The 20,879-nt window shown below is 41.3% G+C and overlaps 2 protein-coding genes across 18 annotated transcripts in view, besides 9 other annotated features; one reads left to right on the plus strand and one right to left on the minus strand.

Annotated features, from left to right (window-relative positions):
* NGLY1 (N-glycanase 1) overlaps positions 1-11,263 on the minus strand; it is a 71,096-nt gene extending 59,833 nt beyond the window's left edge. For 11 of the 13 annotated variants that reach the window (XM_005265317.1, XM_005265316.1, NM_001145295.2 and 8 more), the window contains exon 1: positions 4,484-4,667. In XM_005265317.1, the coding sequence (XP_005265374.1) occupies positions 4,484-4,614 (131 nt within the window). In that variant the 5' untranslated portion in view covers positions 4,615-4,667. Of the gene's footprint in view, positions 1-3,961; positions 4,097-4,483; positions 4,668-11,084 lie in introns of those variants that run through there. The other 2 variants (NM_001145294.2, XM_011533944.1) reach the window with 2 other exon arrangements.
* Positions 2,460-2,629: an enhancer, noted in NCBI's record as "active region_19609". NCBI's record gives its function as "activates an Ori minimal core promoter by ATAC-STARR-seq in GM12878 lymphoblastoid cells {active_cell/tissue: GM12878}" and the evidence as "EXISTENCE:reporter gene assay evidence [ECO:0000049][PMID:35858748]".
* Positions 4,017-4,096: an enhancer, noted in NCBI's record as "active region_19610". NCBI's record gives its function as "activates an Ori minimal core promoter by ATAC-STARR-seq in GM12878 lymphoblastoid cells {active_cell/tissue: GM12878}" and the evidence as "EXISTENCE:reporter gene assay evidence [ECO:0000049][PMID:35858748]".
* Positions 4,257-4,306: an enhancer, noted in NCBI's record as "active region_19611". NCBI's record gives its function as "activates an Ori minimal core promoter by ATAC-STARR-seq in GM12878 lymphoblastoid cells {active_cell/tissue: GM12878}" and the evidence as "EXISTENCE:reporter gene assay evidence [ECO:0000049][PMID:35858748]".
* Positions 4,617-4,856: a silencer, noted in NCBI's record as "silent region_14147". NCBI's record gives its function as "represses an Ori minimal core promoter by ATAC-STARR-seq in GM12878 lymphoblastoid cells {active_cell/tissue: GM12878}" and the evidence as "EXISTENCE:reporter gene assay evidence [ECO:0000049][PMID:35858748]".
* Positions 10,793-11,322: an enhancer, noted in NCBI's record as "H3K27ac-H3K4me1 hESC enhancer chr3:25831060-25831589 (GRCh37/hg19 assembly coordinates)". NCBI's record gives its function as "activates a minimal SCP1, AML or CMV promoter by ChIP-STARR-seq in naive H9 embryonic stem cells {active_cell/tissue: H9 hESC(naive)}" and the evidence as "EXISTENCE:reporter gene assay evidence [ECO:0000049][PMID:30033119]".
* Positions 10,793-11,359: a biological region, named in NCBI's record as "H3K27ac-H3K4me1 hESC enhancer GRCh37_chr3:25831060-25831589".
* Positions 11,140-11,359: a silencer, noted in NCBI's record as "fragment chr3:25831407-25831626 (GRCh37/hg19 assembly coordinates)". NCBI's record gives its function as "represses an EF-1alpha promoter that drives an FKBP-Casp9 reporter gene in an ReSE screen in phorbol 12-myristate 13-acetate-treated (for megakaryocytic differentiation) K562 erythroleukemia cells {active_cell/tissue: K562(+PMA)}" and the evidence as "EXISTENCE:reporter gene assay evidence [ECO:0000049][PMID:32094911]".
* Positions 11,314-15,755, plus strand: OXSM (3-oxoacyl-ACP synthase, mitochondrial). Of its 5 annotated transcripts, none has more exons than NR_026937.2 (4): positions 11,314-11,371; positions 12,214-12,539; positions 12,994-13,221; positions 15,316-15,755. NR_026937.2 is itself a non-coding variant. In XM_006713217.5 (4 exons), the coding sequence occupies exons 3-4, from the start codon at positions 13,070-13,072 to the stop codon at positions 15,716-15,718; spliced, it is 555 nt and encodes a 184-aa protein (XP_006713280.1). In that variant the 5' UTR covers positions 11,314-12,040; positions 12,214-12,539; positions 12,994-13,069; the 3' UTR covers positions 15,719-15,755. The 5 variants fall into 5 exon arrangements, 4 of the variants coding, with proteins under 4 accessions (XP_006713280.1, NP_001138863.1, XP_006713279.1 ...); XM_006713217.5 differs by having other exon boundaries at positions 11,314-12,040; NM_001145391.2 differs by having other exon boundaries at positions 12,214-12,920; positions 13,170-13,221.
* Positions 11,462-11,531: an enhancer, noted in NCBI's record as "active region_19612". NCBI's record gives its function as "activates an Ori minimal core promoter by ATAC-STARR-seq in GM12878 lymphoblastoid cells {active_cell/tissue: GM12878}" and the evidence as "EXISTENCE:reporter gene assay evidence [ECO:0000049][PMID:35858748]".
* Positions 11,542-11,611: an enhancer, noted in NCBI's record as "active region_19613". NCBI's record gives its function as "activates an Ori minimal core promoter by ATAC-STARR-seq in GM12878 lymphoblastoid cells {active_cell/tissue: GM12878}" and the evidence as "EXISTENCE:reporter gene assay evidence [ECO:0000049][PMID:35858748]".

Raw genomic sequence — 20,879 nt, forward strand, 5'->3', positions numbered from 1 at the left:
ATACCTTTATAGTCACCTGATTTTCTTTCTTCCCTAAACCAATGGTTGTTTTTACTATAAGTAAAAACAGTAAATTACATTCTGTGCTGTTAAGGTACATTTTTTTTTTTTGAGATGGGGGGGGTCTCGCTTCAGTTTAAGATACATTCTTTTTTTTTTTTTTTTTTTTTTTTTTTGAGAGAGGGGTCTTGCTCTGTTTCCCAAGCTGGAGTGCAGTGGCGTGACCTCGGCTCACTACAGCCTCCACCTCCCAGGTTCAAGCAATTCTCCCACCTCAGCCTCCCAAGTAGCTAGGATTACAGGGGTGCACCACCACTCCTGGCTAATTTTGCATTTTTTAAGTAGAGACAGGGTTTCACCATGTCGACCAGGCTGGTCTCGAACTCTCGACCTCAGGTGATCCACCCGCCTCAGCCTCCCAAAGTGCTGGGGATTACAGGCGTGAGCCACCGCACCTGGCCCAAGACATATTCTTGACACAGACAGTATGGCAATAAAAGGAAGACATAAATTTCTTTTACCATAATTAAGATTTTGAATAGTACACTTGGGACAAGTAACCAGCACATGAAAAGTTTTGGTTTGAGATTTTTAATTACTTTGATAAATCAGAATTGTTTAAAAAAAATTAAAAGAATGTAAGGTTAAGCTAATCATAGTATTATATTCAAAAGACCCTCAGAACATAGTTTAGGATGATAAGTTTCATACCTGACACCAACTGCCTTAAAGTGATAGTGACTTCTTTAAGTACTATGTTAAGGAGGATTCTGAGGCAGTATCTGGGATCCATAGGAAGATGTACTTCCATAAGAAGCCACCTGCCCTGGGGTATGATATGGTGAGTAGGCAAATGCTAGCAAATGACTTATCAACTTTGTCCTATCTACACATGTTCTCTAGGTATTCTGACGTAAAAACAAAACCAAAAACCAAATATTTTAATTTTATAAGTTTTAACAAATTTTGCATTTGTTTTTCACCAGTCAATTGCCTATTGGCCAAAGTGTCATAAATACTAAATGAATGTTTTTAAACTTTTCCCTAATTTCAAAAATCATGTTTATTACAGAATATTCAGAGACAAATGCTCTATTTTTTTTGCTATTCAAAATGTCCACAGATTGGTGCTAATCTACAAATTATTTGTTACCCATACACAAGTAGTACAGAAATTTTTTCTTTGTTTGTTTACAAGTGCATAAAAATGAAGCAAGAAGTAGAGAAATTGAATGTTCGGTATACAGCAATTTGATATTGCCATGAAATTTTCAGTGTATTTTACAAAAGTTATAGGTCCATAAGGGATTGGAAATTAAAACAAAAACATTGTTCTTTACTATATGTAATTTGAGAATCACAGATGGTTGTGAAATACAAAGAAAATTTTATTCTCAACTCTTTATTCTGTGTATTAGATTAGGGTTTCTCAGTCTCAGCACCATTAACATGTGGGGCCTTTTCTCAGTGGAGTTTCCTTGTGCACTGCAGAACATTCGCATTCCTGGCTTCCATGCTACACTGTCTCACAAGTGAGCCTCTCTTTCTTATCACTTAAGAAAACTGAACTATAAAATAATCCTACATTTATCAAAGCTAGTTTTCGATAAATGGGGCATCTTTTCCTGACACTCAATGTATTTCACAGGGTGATAAACATGTCAGTACCACCAGGATGATATATCCTACTGGTTCAAAACTGCTTGAGCTATTTTAATCTATTCTTTTCCTCACAGCTTTCAGATCTCTACATGCTGGGTCTTTCTCTGGGCTAATTTTCTAGTTTCTTCCTGCTTTCACAATTGTTTAAAAATTCTTATAAAATACACATCAGTTCTCATATAGTTTTTGTTTTGTTTTTTAAAAAACAAAGTGTTGCTCTGTCACCCCGGCTAGAGTGCAATGACGCCATCAAAGCTCATTGCTGCTTAGAACTCCTGGGCTCAACAATCCTCTGCCTCAGCCTCTGAAGTAGCTAGGACTACAGGTGAGCCACCACGCCTGGCTATTTTTTTTTTTTATTAAGAGATGGGGTCTCACTGTGTTGCCCCGGCTGCAATCCTTCTACCTGGGGTGTCCTAAAGCCCTGGTACTACAGGTTGGAGCCACTTCGACTGGCCTTTGTTATTTTGATATATGTTGTTACCATTTAACTATTGATATACAATATAGATTTTCCTCTTTAGTTTCTAGTGAGCATTTTTTTTTTCTTTTTTGAGAAAGGTCTCACTTCGCCATCAAAGCTAGAATGCAGTGGCATGATTATGGGCTCAAGCCATCCTCCCACCTCTGCCCTCCAAGTAGCTGGGACTACAGGTGTCTGCCACCACGCTTGGCTAATTTTTTAATTTTTTTGTAGAGACGGGGTTTAGCCATGTTGCCCAGGCTGGTCTCAAACTCCTAAGCTCAAGCAATCCGCCCACCTTGGCCTCCCACAGTGCTGGGGTTACAGGTGTGAGCCACCGTGCCCAGTGAGCAATTTTATTTTTATATCATCTCTGGACCTCACATTAATCTATTTTTCTCAGTAAAAGTATACTGCAAACAGGCTCCAGCAATGACAGTCACATCCAGTTCCTCAAATTCTTTTTCTTATTAAGTATGTTGAGTAAACTGACCGTGGTTTTGTGTATAGACTGATACCAAAGGCCTGACCCTAAAGCCCTCAAAGACTTAGAGGGCTGTAGGGACATTAGACTTCAAACCCATCATATCCTCTTTCCTATCCTTGGAAAAGCAACGCACAAAGACTTTCTTAAACTCTTAATTTCTCAGCATTATTCCAGTGTGTCCACTATCCTTTGCGCTCATTGTCACACCCCTCATCTTTCAGAATCTTGAAGCTGTGAGGCGGAGGTTGCAGTGAGTCAAGATCGCGCCACTGCACTCCAGCCTCATCAACAAGAGCAAACTCCGTCTCAAAAACGAAAATCAGCAACGAGCCATTAGTAAACATTCATAATGAAGATTATGATGCTAAATGTCATTATTTGCATGCAAAGGTTTCCCCCTCATACTAAACCTCAGCATTTTGGGTTTCACTAGATTTAAAGCAGAAGTGAGGCTTCATTACAAGGCCACCTCTCTTTTCTGACTAGTGGGGTTTTAAATAGCCTGGTGGCTTTCCAGGTGGTAAGTCTCAGCTAATGGGCTCTGGAGAACCCAGCCTATCAGTTCATTTATGGAGTCCCTTGGCATCCTTGTACTGTGAAGAGCTGTAAGGCCTCAAAGAGTAAAAAAGGTGAGTTGAGAAGGTGTCACAGAGCACGAAGGTGGTCCCCACACAGGTCACAATTATGTAGCTGTGAACAGGCCACATGTTGCATCTTTCATAGCATCTGCCACAAAATAAGGGCTCAATATATTTTCCCTTCAATTTACTTTAAAAATCATTACCATTGCCTAAATGAAATATTACTGACATGGATTTTAAAAACTGCACATGTAACTAATGTCTAAAATTGGGTCACGTGAAACCTATAACCTTGAAACTGAGAATTTCCTTTTAGACTTCATGACAATATACCAAACACTTAATGCACCAGGGGCTGAGGGGAACAGAGAACCTAATTAATCACGGTGACCTGATAAATGAGGTAACACCCCTAAAGCAAGTGGCTCTCCTTTAACCTCAGTTCCATTTCCCTACCCCCCCACACCATGTCCCTTCAGATCATTTGATCTGAAGAGTTGAGGTGGGTACTTATTCAAAATGAATAATCAAACTTGCCTCCCAATTCCCAAAATCTGCAAGGTCCCTTAGACCTCTAGAAGTGCAATTTTGCTGACAGGAGAATGAAGGAAATTACTCTCATCCAAGGCGATTACCTCCACGAATTCTTAAAGGGTTATGTTACATAGTAGAATCCAGGTATTAATATAAAAACTGTAACTTCAAAATACTATAATGTTTCAATCAACAAAAGTGGGCAGAAAAAAAATTAAAAATTTTAAAACCCACCACTTCAGAAGCATTATGCTTTAGTACTCGGATAGTCTCAACATGGGAAGAAAACATCACTTTGTCAGTGAGTAACTTCTGATAAGTATGTGGAAATGTAAGCCACTCCGCTCGAAAAATGCACGCAGGGGGAATGACACGCGCGGTGCGGTTACCGTTGTGTCCCGATATCTGAGGCCGTTAAACGACGAGAAGAGCGGCAGTGTCTGAAGCACGCCTTCCTACCTCTCCTCCGCCCGGCCCCGCTTCCGGGACTCCAGTTCACCCGCAGCACCCTGACTGCAGGTGCCAAGTCACAACTGCAAAGAAACTTCCTTTTCTCGAGCGGGGGTGGGACTTGGCCGGGTCCCGAGGCCCCTGGCCGGCGGGCTCGGACGTTAGGAGCAGAACCAGCTCCAGGTCCCGGTCTGTCCGGGCGTCGCTGCCCTCTGAAGCTCAGGCCGGACGCCCCAGTCCCTGGCCGAACAAGGTGCCGCGGCCCACCCACCCCGGTACCCGCCGTCCGACCCCGTTGCCCTGCACCTGAGGATGTTGTCAGCATAGGTGAGCAGCAGCTTGGAGGCCTCCAAAAAGGTCTCCGGGGTGTTCTGGCAGAGCTCAGCCACGGCCGGGGACGCCGAGCCTGAGGAGCTGCCCAATGCCGCCGCCGCCATGCTTGAGCGCCAGCGGGCGCCGCCGCCGCCCCTCGCTCTCCGCGTCCCACACTGAGCAGGCGCCTCAGCGCGCAGCAGCTACCGCAGCCACCGGCAGGGGCGGGGTCCTCGGCCGGCAGGGGCGGGGTCCTCGGCCGGCAGGGGCGGGGTCCTCGGCCGGCAGGGGCGGGGTCCTCGGCCGGCAGGGGCGGGGTCTTCGGCCGGCAGGGGCGGGGTCGGGGGCCTGGGGCGGGGTCGGGGACCGGGGCCAGGAGCGGGGGAGCTCGGCTGGGAGCTACGGCTGCCCCTTCGCGGGGGGCAAGGGGCTGTTCGGAAGAAGGTGGGGGGCCTCGGCCGGCAGGGGCGAGGTGCTTCGACCCAGAGTTGGGGCCTGGTCGTACAGGTTGGGAAGGGGTTCCGCAGGGAGAGGCGGGGCCTGGGCTCCGGGGCTGAGGGGTGTGGGCCTGGAGGAGGGGGATGTCGAGTCCTTTAGGACGGAGGAGCTCGGCTGGAGGGGAGGCCGGCTTTGGTCTAGAGGTATCGGGCGAATGGTGCTGGCACGTGCCTCTCAGAAACCCGGATCCCTTTGCGCTCCGGGGCCAGCCTAATTGATCCAGCTATTAAGGTGGAGAAACCGCATGTACCTCCCTCCTTTCCCCACAAATAAAACCACCTTAGAGCCTTCTCTTCGCAGATTGTCAGGACGTTCTACATAGATGTGGATGAAAGACTACAGAAGGAAGGAGCAACAAACGTCAAAAACAAAACCATGGCTATAAACTCTGCTGGGTTTGTTATATGGATTCTTTTCAGAATTTGGCTAATGACTGAAAATCTAAGTTCCAGCTCAACTAGTATATGATTCCTCTGTAAGGAAGTGTATTTTTAAACCATAGGTTGCGACATAATAATGGGTTGTGGATTCGGTTTACCGCGTGGTGACCAGCGTAAAACACATGCATAATAATTACGCAATATTATAGAATGTCGGGGGCGGGAAGGGAATAAAAATTTGCATCCCACACAGTAAGGGTAAGTAATATTTTGTGACTTGTTTTTTAGGTAGATCATGTGATCAAGGTCTTTTATTCCTCTTAGAAGATGCATCCCTTACTACTTTAATCCAGTCTCTTCCCCACCATGTTCTTGAAAGTGTACTTTACCAGTGGCTTCCTTCTTTGCAGAAATTCCTTTTCAACCTCACGAAGTATTTTTCTTGACTTTATTTCTTAAGATAAGTGATTTGCCTGAATAACCTCTTTTAAATTTCTTGATGTTTCATCTGTTTACTTTTAAGAATTGAAATTTTCTTCCAGAATCTCCGAACAAGACCCTAAGCTATGACATCCAGTTCAATGACTATTCGTCTCCCAAATATACGTACGCTTTTAATAAATATGTAAATCTTTGGACCACCTTCCAAGTATGGTGTGTTCAACAGATAGTAGTATGTTACTACCGTCTGTAACTAAAATTTTCAGGGGCTTAACACAAGAGTAATTTCTTTCTGGCTCATATAACACTTTAATAATGCAGGTGTCATAATGTCAGTGGACCCAGTCTCCTTCCATACCTTAGAACAGGGGTCAAGAAACATTTTCTGTAAAGGGCCACATAGTGTTTTAGGCTTTGTGAGCCATAAGGTCTGTCTCAACTATTTAACTCTGCCTCTGCAGCTGTTGCTCCACAGACAATACTTGAAAATAAATGGGCATGGTTATGTTCTAGTGAAATTTTATTTACAAATCCAGGCAGCCTGCTTGGACAAAAAAAAAAAAAAAAAAAAAAAAGTCACACCTACTTTTAACCACATGAGCCCAGAAATGACACACAGCATTTTCTCTACCATATCATTACTAAGAATGAGGCCTCATCAAGATAAAAGGGGGTATTTCAGTAAGGCCAGATTTACAAAAAATAAAAAAAAAATTTAAAAACACATAAAAAGATAAAAGGGGAGAGTCTGGGAAATGTAGTCTCGTCCAACTACACAATGGATTGGGGGCTTGGGTCTGGAGATATAGCTATCACAAACTTTATTCCTCTTAATTTGGGTTTCTTTTTCCATTGATACATTTATTTATCCTTTACTAATTATATGAGAATAGTATATATTATACAGTACTTGTAACTTTTAAAAATGCAACAGAACTTTTTTTTTTTTTTCAAATAAAATTTTAGGGGCTGGACATGGTGGCTCACGCCTGTAATCCCAATACTTTGGGAGGCCGAGGTAGGTGGATCGCTTGAGCCCAGGAGTTCAAGACCAGCCTGGGCAACATGGCAAGACCCCATCTCTACAAAAAAAAAACAAAAACAAAAACATAGGAAGATTGTCTATATACAAAACACCAAAGTGGAAATGCTCTGGTATTGAAGCAGAGGTGTCAAGTGAAGGGCAGAAAGCTGTCAGCTAAGGCTTTCCCCTGACAGATAGAATGGTCATAGGGTACTTTTGTGGGGGAACAAAATGACTTTTGTTTTTCTCTTCATAATAGTTTGTTTCCTCAACTAAAACGCTATCTCACTGTAAGTTATCATTAGTTTTGTCTTCCCTATTTGATTAAAAGTCTCTTGTGCCATCTGTCTCAGACTGCTTTGCACACAGCAGGTACTGAATAGAGTTGTTGGTTAATCACTCAATGTAGTCACACAATAGTGAATCACTATACAAATTCCTGAAAGACTTCAACTCCTCCCCTTGCTAATGGTTTTTATGGAGGTTAACTTTTTAATATCACCAAACCAATCGTGGGGAAAATTTACAGAGTTCTTTCTTTTTTGTTTTATTAAAGAATAGTGTTAGCCAGGCGTGTTAGTGCACACCTGGAGTCCCAGCTACTTGGGAGGCTGAGAGGCAGGAGAATCGCTTGAACCCAGGAGGCAGAGGTTGCAGTGAGCTGAGGTTGCCCTACTGCACTCCAGCCTGGGTGACAGAGCGGGACTCTACCTCAAAAAAAAAAAAGAATAGCGCCATGATATGTCAACTCTAAAAATGATGTTTTTAATAAAGGTGAAATCCTGGGGAAAAAAAAAATCTTTATTTTGGAACAAAAATAAATAAATAAAAGAACAAGAATTTCAATGCTGATTTAGTACCCATTCTTTGGTTGTTTGAAACAACGATGGGTATAAAAGTTAGGGTAGCTTATTCAGCTTTTCTAAAGGAAATGGAAGAATTAGAATATCTCCAACTTGACTGAAGTGGGGGAAGCAGCCAGGAAAATGAGAGACCAAGTCCCTTTATATAATGGATTCCCTTAATAGCTTTATAAATGGCAATATTCAAAAGAGATTACAGTTACTCAAGAACTTTAACAGAAGTGTTGCTAAAGAGTTATTTGGAAGGACTTAAATTTCAGATGATTTTTTTAAAATGGTGATTTCCATGATTTTATGGACTGTACATTGTTATCACAATATTAATGCTATGGCATTGGTTTTCGCAAAAGTCATTTGGTGAGAAATGCACAAAAAGTGCATGTGTACTATCAAATGTAAGGATAAATGTTGATTTATTCATTCCATAATTCATTCATTCATCATGTATTTATGAAGTGACTACTAGTTGCTCAGCACTGTGAAGGAGACAAGTATGGTCCCTACTTTCATAGAAGTCATAAGTTTAGAGCAGTGGTTGGACAAGCAACAGCAGCATCAGCAGGAAACTTGTCAGAAAAACAAATTCTGAAGCTCCACATTTAAAGGTGGGACCCAGCAATCTGTGTGGTAACAAGCCCTTCAGGTGATTTTGATTAACAGTAAACTTTGAGAACTACTAGTTTAGAGGGAGGAAAATTTCACTGTGGGCTGCAGTTTCAGTGAGGGGGGACAACTTGAACAGAAGCCTTAAATTGAGAGGTTGAGAAGGTGAGAAAGGAGAGGACTTGCTACCTGTGAGAGACTCCCCACCCTCCTTAAATCATGTACAATATCCTAGTAACGTTTCCTTCTCAACATCTCCTGGATCTCTCCTTGCCATTGCCTTCAGAGCCTCGTGTTTCATCCATTCTTAACTTTCTTCCCTGTGTCCATTTCCACATCCTTCCAACCCACCCTGCTCATTTGTGCAATAGTGATCTTTCTAAAGCACCCATCTGATCATGTTGTTCTCCTGGTAAAAAGTTTTCTATGGCTCCCTCTATCCACATTCTAAAGTCAAATGGTGTCAGGAACCAGGCTGGTAAGTTAAATATTTTAAGTGGCTTTGTTCAAGACAAAGAGGAGTAAGAGAGACTCCAGTGAAGGGAATGAGAGAGTTTACCATGTCCTTTCTAGAGGAGTTTAGAATCAATAAAAGAATGTTGCACTCCAAATTATACCATGAAGGCTAGCATATGGTCTCTGAACTACGGGATTAAATCCAAAGTCCTCAGTATGATACCCCAGGCTTTTGTGATCTGGGCCCTGCCTTACTCTCATGCGTTTACTGTTGCTTTGTCCCACACTTCAAATTTGACATGGGCCACATATTTAGCTGTTTGTGGAAGATACCATGACACTTCATTTCTCCAGGCCTTTGTTCTCCTCCTGCCAGGATGCCCTTTCCCACCCAATTTACTAGACAAACATTCATTTCCAAGATGCAGTTCAAGGATCATTTCTCTGAAGCCTTTTCTGACTTTACGAGGTAGCACAGACCTCATTGTCCCTTTTGTGTTATAATAATTCCACTATAGCACCTGTTTCAACAGTTTGCACTTACTTGTTTCTATGGGTGTCTCCCTTTACTAGACCATAAACTTCTTGAAAGCAAGAGCCATACCTCTACTCATTTTTGCATTCAAACTTCAAGCATTGATAGGAAGAAAATGAGTGGTTGTTGAAAATAGCAAAAGCACAGAGATGAGAAAAGTTAGGGTCAATCAAGACATGTATAGTGAGAAAATCAGTTTGCTGGGTGGCAAGCTCATTTAATAGAGAATGGGAGCCATAATTGGAAAGATAGTTTTGAATCAGATTACAAAGAATTTAAGGCAAACCTAGGAAGTCTTAATAGGAGGGTAGGATAAGCAGAGCCCATTTGAAGATTTTGGTGCAAGAAGACACGATGGAATTGTAGCAGGAAATATGGTACCAAATATGTAAAGCCATTAAATATCATAAAATTTCCCACCCTTTTCCAGATCAAAGAAAAGGTGATAAGAGGTAGATACAAAAATGATGGTCTTTTTATTTTTCTGAAAGATTTTGTCACCTCTTAGCCAAGACGATTTTGTGATATTACAAAAGAAATAGCACATTAAAACTGTATGTTTCTTATGAGTTCAGCTTCAGAGAAAATATTGTAGGTATTTTCACACTATTATTTTAAAGACAGCAATGAAAAGAGATCAAGTTTAGGTACTTACTCATCAAGTGTTACTTTATAACCACATGTGTTTGTTTTAATTCTTCAAGAAACTCTACTTTGTCACTGAATGAGGATCAACTAGAGGTGACTGGTTAGGCCTGGGACGAAGGTCAAACTGAGCTTTGCTGAATTATTTTAAACAAAATAGATTTCCAAACTCATTTAAATCCAGGACCAACCTGGAAAGCTAAGCTTGACTCACATTCTTCTGTAGGGGTAGGAAAGAATGCAGAGCACTCTACTTGGAAACAATGGCTTCAAGAGGCATTGCCCAGAAAAAACCATAAATATGACTAGAAGGTCCAGATGAAGATTCTATGCTCAACCATTTTTCTAAAGAAGAGCAAGGACAAAACTCACGCCTGGGATAGCATGTGAAAAACAGATGTTCGATGAATACCATCTTGTCGACTTCTTGCTTTTTTACATTTTCATGTTATATTTTCCCTTTATCGGTTTGCAGTCAGCTCTAAGCAAACAGTTAATGAATTTTTCACACTTAGAAACAAATGTCTCCATTGTGACAATGGAGACAATTTTTGAGCACTGTCTCAAATCTGGTGATAATTTTTTTTTAAGTGAAAGGAAGTTTATTAGGAAAGTAAAGGAACAAAGAATGACTACTCCATAGGCAGAACAGCCTGGTGACAACTTTTAAAAAGTAAAAACTTTATTACAAAAACATTTGTTTATTGTAGAAAAGCTTTATTAAATAAAGCTAAGCAAAAATAAGGAGGGAAAGATCACAATCAGTATACATCTTGCAGACCTTTAAAGAATTATTTTTGAAAAAACGGATATATACTGTTTTGTAACTATGTCTCCTAACAAATAGTCGCAACATCTCATTAATAAATATTCACCTGCAGAATTATTTTAAACGGCTGCATGGCATTTGGATGTACCACAAGATACACAACAAATTTCCTGATGTTGGCCATTTTGGTTAATTCCACTTTACTCACAATTACTAATAACGTTGCGAGCTATAGCAATAACTTTGAAACTGCAGAGAATTTCCTTAATTCTTTCTTACAATTCCAGTAGAATACGATGGTGTCCCTTCTCCGACAAAAGGGAATATTTGGGCATTATCACTGCCAAAGAAAAATGCCTTTTTGATGGGTGAAAATGCTACCTCATCGCGTTATTGGCAGGTCCTCGATTATCGGCGAGTCACTGAGGTTCCGAGAGGGGCGTCTCTGCTCACGCAAACAGCTACCCAGCCGCCTCCCACGGTCTGACCTCAGCCAAGGTGACGCGGCTTAAAGTCAACCGGCGGAAAGAGAGTCGAACGGGACGCGTGCGTGGGAAAGCGCATGAGCGTACGTGCGAGCGCGCATGAGCGTACGTGCGTGTGCGCGTGCGCTCGAGAGCGTCATCGCCCCCGACTGTGGAGAAGTGTCCGGGGTAGCCCCGTTACAGGTATCGCTGGCTACCCTCCTCCTTCGCCCCTCCTTTCCTCCTTTACATTCAAATCAAGTCGGGGTTGAATTTCGAGAGGGGAGTCCGAGGACCTGGGGCCTGATTTCTTTTTCTCTCGCCATGCTTCTTCGGGCTGTGTACATGTGTGGTGGTGCCTGAGAGGCGATACAGGGAATGGCTACACTCTTTTACTCCCGCCCCTGGCCTTCGTAGTACCCTTGAAGTGATCCACTAGTCGTAACCCCTCCTTCCACCAATGATTCAATTGGAGAAGTTTAGAGGAGTGGAAAGACTTGTCCCCTTCCCCCATCGCAAGCTTGGTCACAGAGTGTATTGCCAACCCATGTATCCAGACGCTCAGTCTAGGGCTCTTGGCCCTGGGTAGCGTTTTGAAAAGGCTGGTTATCCTTAAGTACTGAAGATTGATAAAGCCCACTTACTTACTTAAAAGAATATGCCCTGAAATGTGTTTTCTGTGCCACTGACACCAGAAATGCTATTTAGAAGAAGTTATCAGTAATCCTGACAAAGGATGCTTCCTGCAGCTCAAATCAGGCTGGAGGTGCCTTTATATTTTTCATTGAATTACTGTTTTGGTGACTCGAATGAATCATCAATTCATTTATTTGTCTTCAAATGTCTGACGGCACTTAAGGTCTAAAAAAGAAGGTAAGTTTAAACAGATAGTTTGATGTTAAGGTATAAATTGAAAGTATGTAACATTTTCCCTGTGTTCATTAGCAGCTCATATCAAGCACCCAAAGGAACACCTTGGATGTTTTTCCTTAGGCCCTTAAGCTATTTAAAAGAATACCTCCTAGGTGTGTTGTGGTCTTTTACAGGAATGTGTTTCTGATCATCTGAATCTTAATCATGTCCAACTGCCTGCAAAATTTCCTGAAAATTACAAGCACTCGTCTTCTATGTTCAAGATTATGCCAACAGTTAAGAAGTAAAAGGAAGTTTTTCGGAACTGTGCCAATATCCAGATTGCATAGGCGAGTTGTCATTACAGGCATTGGCTTAGTGACTCCTCTTGGTGTTGGAACTCACCTGGTTTGGGATCGTCTTATCGGAGGAGAGAGTGGAATTGTTTCACTGGTTGGTGAAGAGTATAAGAGTATCCCTTGCAGTGTTGCTGCTTATGTGCCAAGAGGTAGTGATGAAGGTCAGTTCAATGAACAAAACTTTGTGTCCAAATCAGATATCAAGTCCATGTCTTCTCCCACCATCATGGCCATTGGGGCTGCAGAATTAGCCATGAAGGATTCTGGCTGGCATCCTCAGTCAGAAGCTGATCAAGTGGCTACTGGTGTTGCAATTGGCATGGGAATGATTCCTCTTGAAGTTGTTTCTGAAACTGCTTTGAATTTTCAGACAAAAGGTTACAATAAAGTTAGCCCATTTTTTGTCCCTAAGATTCTGGTCAATATGGCAGCAGGCCAGGTCAGCATTCGATATAAACTCAAGGGCCCAAATCATGCAGTATCCACAGCCTGTACCACAGGAGCTCATGCTGTGGGAGACTCATTTAGATTTATAGCCCATGGTGATGCTGATGTGATGGTGGCTGGAGGTACAGATTCTTGTATTAGCCCTTTATCTCTTGCTGGGTTTTCCAGAGCCCGGGCTCTGAGCACAAACTCAGATCCCAAGTTGGCATGTCGACCATTTCATCCAAAGAGAGATGGTTTTGTAATGGGAGAAGGTGCAGCTGTGCTGGTGCTGGAAGAATATGAACATGCTGTTCAAAGAAGAGCCCGGATCTATGCAGAAGTTTTGGGCTATGGACTCTCAGGTGATGCTGGTCACATAACTGCCCCTGATCCTGAAGGAGAAGGTGCCTTAAGGTAAAGATGGGTTATTTCCTTCGAAATATTTCTTCAAATAAGACACTTTATTGGGAATCCCAAATTAGGGAAGTTGTAGTGTCTGGCCTTGGTGTACAGTATCTCTGTTGTTTTTCTTTTTTAGACTAAACAAGATTGTTTAGTTCTTTGCTTAAGACATTTGAAGTATTTCAAAGCATTTGAACATACTTACAAAAATTGCATTTGAGTTAAAAACCAATGGAGTTGTGGAAAAGACCATGTGTGTCTTTGCCAACTTTTCACGCCTGCATTTGTGCTTAAGCATCAGTGTGCTCCCTCACAAAGTCCTCCTCTTTGACCCTTCATCAGACTTGGAAAGTAAAGTCAACCCTTCTAGATGTGTCTGGTTTTGCTCCATTTCAACAGGATTCTGTTCTTTTCAAATCAGCACTTCTCAAACTATAATCACCTAGGGATCTTATTTAAAATGCTAATTCTGATTCTGTAGGTCTAGGGTGGTGCTTGAGATTCTGTTTTGTTTTGTTTTTTTAGAGACAGGGTCTCTCTGTATTGCCCATGCTGGTCTTATCTCACTGCAGTCTCTAACTCCTGGGCTCAAGCAATCCTCTCACCTCAGCTTCCTGAGTAGCTGGGACTACAGGAATGCGCCACTGAGACCAGTTTTCTTTTTTTTGAATTTGTTTGTAGAGATGGGGTTTCACTTTATTTCCCAGGCTGAGAGATTCTGTAGTTCTAACAGGTGATGGTGATACTGCTGGTTTAAGGACTACATTTAAGTTAACTGTTATAGATTAGTGCATTTAAAATGCAAAAAAATAAAAATAAAAAGTCCCTGATAATGTGTTAATAGATAGCTAATAGTTTAGCTTTCTTAAATCATATTATGTTTTACTCAGTTAAATTAGCCAGAGTTAGCAACCTTTTCTGTAATGGGAAAAATATAGTAAATATTTTTGGCTTTGTGGGCCATGGAGTCTGTTGCAACTAATCAACTCTGCCATTGTCATGTGAAAGCAGCCGTAGACAGTATGTAAATGTGTGGGCATGAATGTGTTCCAATGAAACTATTTACAAAAATAGGCATCTAGCCAGGGCCATAGTTTACCTACCCCTAAATTATACATTTGAATTTTATTTTATTTGTTTTTGTTTGTTTGTTTTTCTTTTTTCTTTCTTTTTTTTTTTTTTAGTAGAGTTGGGGTCTTGCTATGTTGCCAGAGCAAGAGCTGGTCTCAAACTCCTGGCCTCAAGCAGTCCTCCTGCCTTGGCCTCCCAAAGTGCTGGGATTACAGGTGTGAGCTACCATGCCTGGCCTACTTTTGAATTTTAGTGAGTAGTTGCTGGTGGTAAAAATGTCAAGCATAGTAACAAAATAGATGAAGAAATGGTTATGTTCACAGGAAACCTTTCAGCATACTTCAAATTATACTCTGAGCTGGCTGTTAAGAAATATATATACACACACAAACACACATACATACATGTATATTTCTCTTAGGAACTAAAGGAAGATGACATCCAAAACGTTTTCAGAGGTCCTTTTAGATATAATTTTTACTCTTAAGTTTGTTTGGCTTAGCTTGCCTTTGTACTTTTTGTTTAGAATTCTTATAGCCTAAATAAAGAGGATTTTGAAAGATTATTTGAAACAATGAAACAGTAGATTATTGGGAAGTATGCCAAGTTTTGAATTTAAATGTGAAAGAAAAATCATAATTATAATTCTCATAAAAAATTGCCACACTCCAAAAATCCCTAGAACAAAAATTATTCTAGTCTTGAGTCAACATGGTATTTTTTCCCCAAGGAAAACTGCCAATGCAAATAAATGAAATTATGTTTTATTTGAGATTATACAATCTTGCATTGGCTTGTGTGTTTAACTCTTGGTGATGAACCAGTCCAAGGTAGTGAGTGTGACTCATTATTCCCATACAGATGGCATCCTAACTCACATGGTAATCCAAGATAGTGTTCCGTTACTAGAGCAAGGGATTCTTTTCATCCAGTGTACTTGGATACCTACATTTGTTTCACATAAGCCATACAGATAAAGAGACTTTTGTTAAAATTAAACTTAGTCCTGATAAATGTCTTTTCTTGTTTTATTAGGTGTATGGCTGCTGCTTTAAAAGATGCAGGTGTGCAGCCTGAGGAGATATCCTATATCAATGCACATGCTACTTCCACACCATTGGGAGATGCTGCTGAAAACAAAGCTATCAAACATCTCTTCAAAGACCATGCATATGCCCTTGCAGTTTCCTCAACTAAGGGAGCAACAGGACATCTGCTGGGAGCTGCAGGGGCAGTCGAGGCAGCTTTTACCACATTAGCTTGTTATTATCAAAAACTACCACCTACTTTAAACCTGGATTGTTCGGAACCAGAATTTGATCTCAACTATGTTCCACTAAAGGCACAGGAATGGAAAACTGAGAAAAGATTTATTGGCCTCACCAATTCCTTTGGTTTTGGTGGTACTAATGCAACACTTTGTATTGCTGGACTGTAGAACATATAATTTGTAATTAAATACTGATTTTTAAATGCTATATGTGAAGAAATTATGCATTTATGTATTGATACCCAGATATACTTTATGTTAGGGTTTCTCCACCTTGGCACTATTAATATTTGGGTAAGATAATTCTTTGTTGGGAAAAGGGGGATTGTACTGTACATTGTTGGGTGTTTAACACCATCCTGATTGCTTCCTAATCTATTCCAATAGCACTCTCTTCCCCAGTTGTGACAACCAAAAGTGTTTCCAGATATTGCCAAATGTTTTCTGGGGAACAAAATAACCCCACCCCTCCTGCATCCCGCCACCTATGAGAACCATGGATCTATATTTTCCTAATACTTTAGGTCAAACAATTTTCTATAACATTTGACCTGCTCCTATCCCTTTCAACTCCTTTTTGCTAGGCAGGGTTGCTATACTATAGTACTCCAGGCGTACCATTCCCATACAATATATAGGAAGGAATATAACAAAGTTTGCATCAGCATTCTTTGAGTTAAACTGTCAGCCAGTAATGATCTATTTACTCCTTATACACCTAGCCCTGTTTTCTTCATATTATCCATACTGTAATTCAGTATAATGAAATTTCTCTAAACTCCCAAGCCATCAGTTCTCTGAAAGAAGAAACTGAAATTGATTTGACATGTCTTATTCTTTTTGTCTTTATGTTGGCACCTAGTGATTAACGGAGATAAAAATCTTTGGGACGTGGAGCAGAAATTGTTCATGACTTGGGCCACGTCCCCTTGGCTTTCCTCTAACTTTTTTTAAGCTTTGCTAGTTTCCTGTGTTTTCCCAACATCCTACTATAAGTGTTGGTGGTTCCTCTACTTCTCTGCCTTGTTTTCTCTAACACGGAGTGTTCATCCGCCGCAGCCTGGAAGTGTTGGTAGGGGGAAGGGAACACATTCCCCAGAGGCAATACTCGACCAATGAGGGATGACGGTGGCTAAGTGCCTCAGCCTCCTTTCAGAAGGGTATCTATGGTTCTCCACAGTTTTTCAGAGGGTCCCCAGTGAATCGGAAGTTTAGTTACCCACAGCATTAGCTAGCTCTAATACTCCCTTCACTGGCTTTTATTTTCCCTTTCCCATGCTCCCTGATTGTTAATCTCATTCCCAGGAATCACCTCCCAAACAAACTGCTTGTTCTGAGGTTCTGCTTTCTGGGCAACTCAAACTAAGAACGTTTATGTTGTAGTGGGGGTTTATATATCAACGGGATAGAGTGAATAGGGGATAAACAGGGTGTGTGTATTTCTGCTGAAATGAATAGAGTTTCCCACATTGCAATAGACTGGACACATTGCCTGCCCACTGACTTTGACTATAGTACTTTATCCCCTTTATGCCAAAGACTCCAGCTGTGTCTTCACATAACTATAATCAGTTTTAATTTTCATGAGCACACATTTATTCATTCAACTGAAGTCTGTTGGGTGCTAACATAGACCTGGCTTTGTACTGGTCACCAGTGATGAAGAGAGTATGTCAGAGAAAGTTTCCTAAAGGAAGCTGAGGCTGTAAGGGTGAACAGGTCTTAGCCAGGTTGAAGGAGAAGATAAAGAAGGAAGGGTGTTCCAGTCAGGGAATTCAATGCGGGAAGGTTTAGAAGTCAGAACATTTGTACTAAACATAGGTGCATATACCCTAAGATGGATTAGGAAATAATGGCAAAAAATCTGGAAAGGTAGGTCACAAATAACTACAAGTTTTGTTCAAGGCAGTAAGGGTAATAGGAAGCCATTTAAGGTTTGGGATGGTGTGATGGCTTTGTAATGTGTCAGTTTGGCGAGGCTGAACTACATTTCACAGCATTCCCTTTATTGTATGTTCTCGGTTAGGGTGGGCCATAGGAAATTCTTGTGGGAGATTTGGAGGATGGAAGTGAAGCAGCAGCTGTTTTGTAGCTCATGCATGTTGCTTAATCTGCTAGCTCATCTTGGTGTGAGACTGGCTGAGTCTTCAACTGCTTCACCTTTCCCTGGATCCTCTGTCAGTTTCCCTGACTCCTGGACCAGGTGTGTGTTTCGTTCCATGATAATGAAGGACCTGACCTTCTGCCCCATACCACCAAAGTCAGAGGCCATAAGAACTGACAGATTCCTTTCTGTCACTTTGTTTGTGGATTCCATCTTGTTACTGGAATTTACATCCATCTTCCCTTCCCAACTGCCTGCCCTGTGGACTTCAAACTCCATCATCAGAAGATGACAGGCGAACATAGCTGCATTACAGAAACTTTAACCAGTTCTCACAATTGTGTAACTGGTTACACAAACTGTCAAATCCCTATAGCAGATATCTATATATGTCTTAGTGGTTCTATTTCTCTGAGTCAACATTGACTGATACATGTGAAGAAGAAGGGTTTATTGGGGGTGACATAATCATATTTTCTTTTGGAAACATCACCCTGGCTGCAGAGTGAAGAACAGCTTGGAGGGAAGCTTGATTCCCATAAGGGAATACAATCAGACGGTATTGCAAAATGTAGGTAAGAAAAGATGGTGGCCTGGATGAAGAAGAATATTTTGACCCAAGTTTCTTCCAAAATTGAAAATCATGTGTTTTTAAAAAATCAACTTTACCAGGGCATAATTTATATATCAAATACATTTATATGCCATTTTAAGTGTACAGGTCAATTAATTTTGATATAAGTATGCACACACATGGAACCACCACCTCAATCAAAGAACATTTCTGATACCCCAAAATTCCTTTTGCCCTTTTGCAGTCAGTGCCCCCAGCTCCAGAAAATCACTGAAGAGCTTTCTGTTACTATAGGTAAGATGTACTTTTCTAGAATTTTAAATAAGTGGAGTCATACAGAATATAACCTTTCGTGCCTGCCTTCTTATAATGTTTTTGAGGTTTATCCATGTTATTGATTGTGTCAGTAATTCATTTCTCTTTTATTGCTGAATTTTAAAAATTATCTCTTTTTTTTTTTTGAGATGACGTTTCGCTCTGCTGCCCAGGCTGGAGCGCAATGACGCGATCTCAGCTCACTGCAACCTCTGTCTCCCAGGTTCAAGCAATTCTCCTGCCTTAGCCTCCCGAGTAGCTAGGATTACAGGCACCTGCCAGCACACCCGGCTAATTTTTGTATATTTAGTAGAGATGGGTTTTCACCATGTTGACCAGGCTGGTCGCAAACTCCTGACTTCAGGTGATCCACCCGCCTCAGCCTCCCAAAGTGCTGGGATTACAGACGTGAGCCACCACGCCCGGCCCTAAAAATTCTTTAATCAGTATAGATACCCTTGACTTTTACTCTTTCCTTAGTCCCTACTTAGCTTATTTTTTAACTTTTTACTGTCACTGTTTTTTAAAAAAATGAATATGTATTGCCTTTTAAACAGAAAAAAGACAGGATTTTTTTAAAAATTATAGAACCAAGATAGTTTCTAAAGCAAAGAATTCTTCCGCCCCGAATCACAAATGTACAAGGGTTTAACAAAGGACCTACACACACGCGCACACACACTTTTATATATATTATTTAGATTACCAGAAATACTGCTAGAAATTTTAGAATTTCCTGTGGTTTAGTGCCATGAGTATATGATGAGTTTTGGATCCAAATATCCTAACCTTATCCCCAGGGTCTTTATATTTAAGGAAGAAATAAAACAAGATAAAATTAATAATAGTTGATTCATATGTTTGTTCAGGTCTTCAGAAGCAGACATCAAAACAGAAATTTCTATGCAAGAAATTTGTTGTGAAGGATAGAGGGTGAGAGCAGGAGAATGCAGAGAGAGCCTTCCTTCCCACAACTAGGAAGGAGAGGGGCACAGGAATGAAAGAGGATTGGGTAGGAAGGGTGTCAATCTGAAGTACCATTCTAATAAAGTTTTGGCCAGGCTGATGGGCAGTTTGCAATCAAAATCTCTTGTTAAAGGAGTTCCACATCTCTCCAGGATGGGCCTGCATTAGGACCCATACTGCGCGTGGTCATTGGCTGTGAGCTGTCCAGGCACAGCAGGAGATCTGAACTGTCCATTTTTCATGCCATTGTAATCTACCCCTTGCACCACAGACATCTGTTTCTCCAAGCAGGTTCATGGGACAGCTCTTTCATGGTTCCTGTGGGCCTCTCTTTCTGAGGAAAAATTTAGATGAGGGTAGTTAGTAGGATAAATAATAGCCTCTGAGGCTGCAGTTGGTCTCAGGTCCACAAATGCTATTCCTCCTCTCTCTAATCCACTATTCATTCTAAATTCCCCTTGCCCTCAGCTATCATCTCGTCAGACCTTGGTGGCTGGGTGGTATAACCCAAACCTTCAGTCCTCAGGAATGTAAGCCCTTGGCAATCATACCATCACCTTTTCATACAGTGGCTGCTGCCTGTATCATAGAGCACTGGGATCAGGAGGCAAGGAAATGCCAGGAGATACCCACGTAGATCACCTAGATTCCACATATATTCTCCCTGTCCTAATTGTGTGAACACAACACTACCTTCTCCAGCGGATTAGGGTCAACTCTCACTGTTAGTATGTTGACTTTATGGTTCCTGGGCACAAGAACTCCAAAGTGTCCTAGTGGCATCTACATCTTGTTGTTCAATGTAATACTTGTGTCTCCTGGCAAGAGTGCGTATCCTTTGGAGATCAGGACTTCCAACTTAAATAATTTGTTTACTTAGCTTAAATAAAATCTTATTTAGTTGCAGTAATACATCTCTGCAATGCCCAGAATTGCAAAATAGAAAGTATGAAATTCCTCATTGTGACTGAATCACTGGAAATAACAGTAAGTGGGGCCATTCATGTTTTCCAACTCCCTTTGTTTCTGAACCTACATGTTCTTCTTATTGCAGACTTAGCCCCATATAAAAGTTTTTGATGTAAGCATGTGCTGCATCTTGAGGATGGCACCACATCCAGTCAGAATTGTCACTGAGCTGTTGATTCGGGTATGCCTTTAGAAGGCAGTTCCAGCTTCTTTGAGGCTGGCTGCTTTTGGATGACATGATATGTGATACAAACTATGGAACCGTGGTCATAGGGCCATCTTATTTGCTGTACAATAGGTCCCCCTGCTCAGATGCTATGTCATAAGGGATTCCATGCCGGTGGATTATTTATTCCATAAGCTTGCAGATAGTGGTGCTGGCTGAGGCTCTGTGGGTAGGA

This window comes from Homo sapiens, chromosome 3 (assembly GCF_000001405.40).
Source record: "Homo sapiens chromosome 3, GRCh38.p14 Primary Assembly".
Classification (NCBI taxonomy): domain Eukaryota; kingdom Metazoa; phylum Chordata; class Mammalia; order Primates; family Hominidae; genus Homo; species Homo sapiens.

Coding starts and splice junctions, on each gene's coding strand:
- OXSM (XM_006713216.5), top strand. CDS start 12,245: ATGTCCAACTGCCTGCAAAATTTCCTGAAAATTACAAGCACTCGTCTT. Junction 13,222..15,315: donor GAAGGAGAAGGTGCCTTAAG/GTAAAGATGGGT, acceptor TTGTTTTATTAG/GTGTATGGCTGCTGCTTTAA.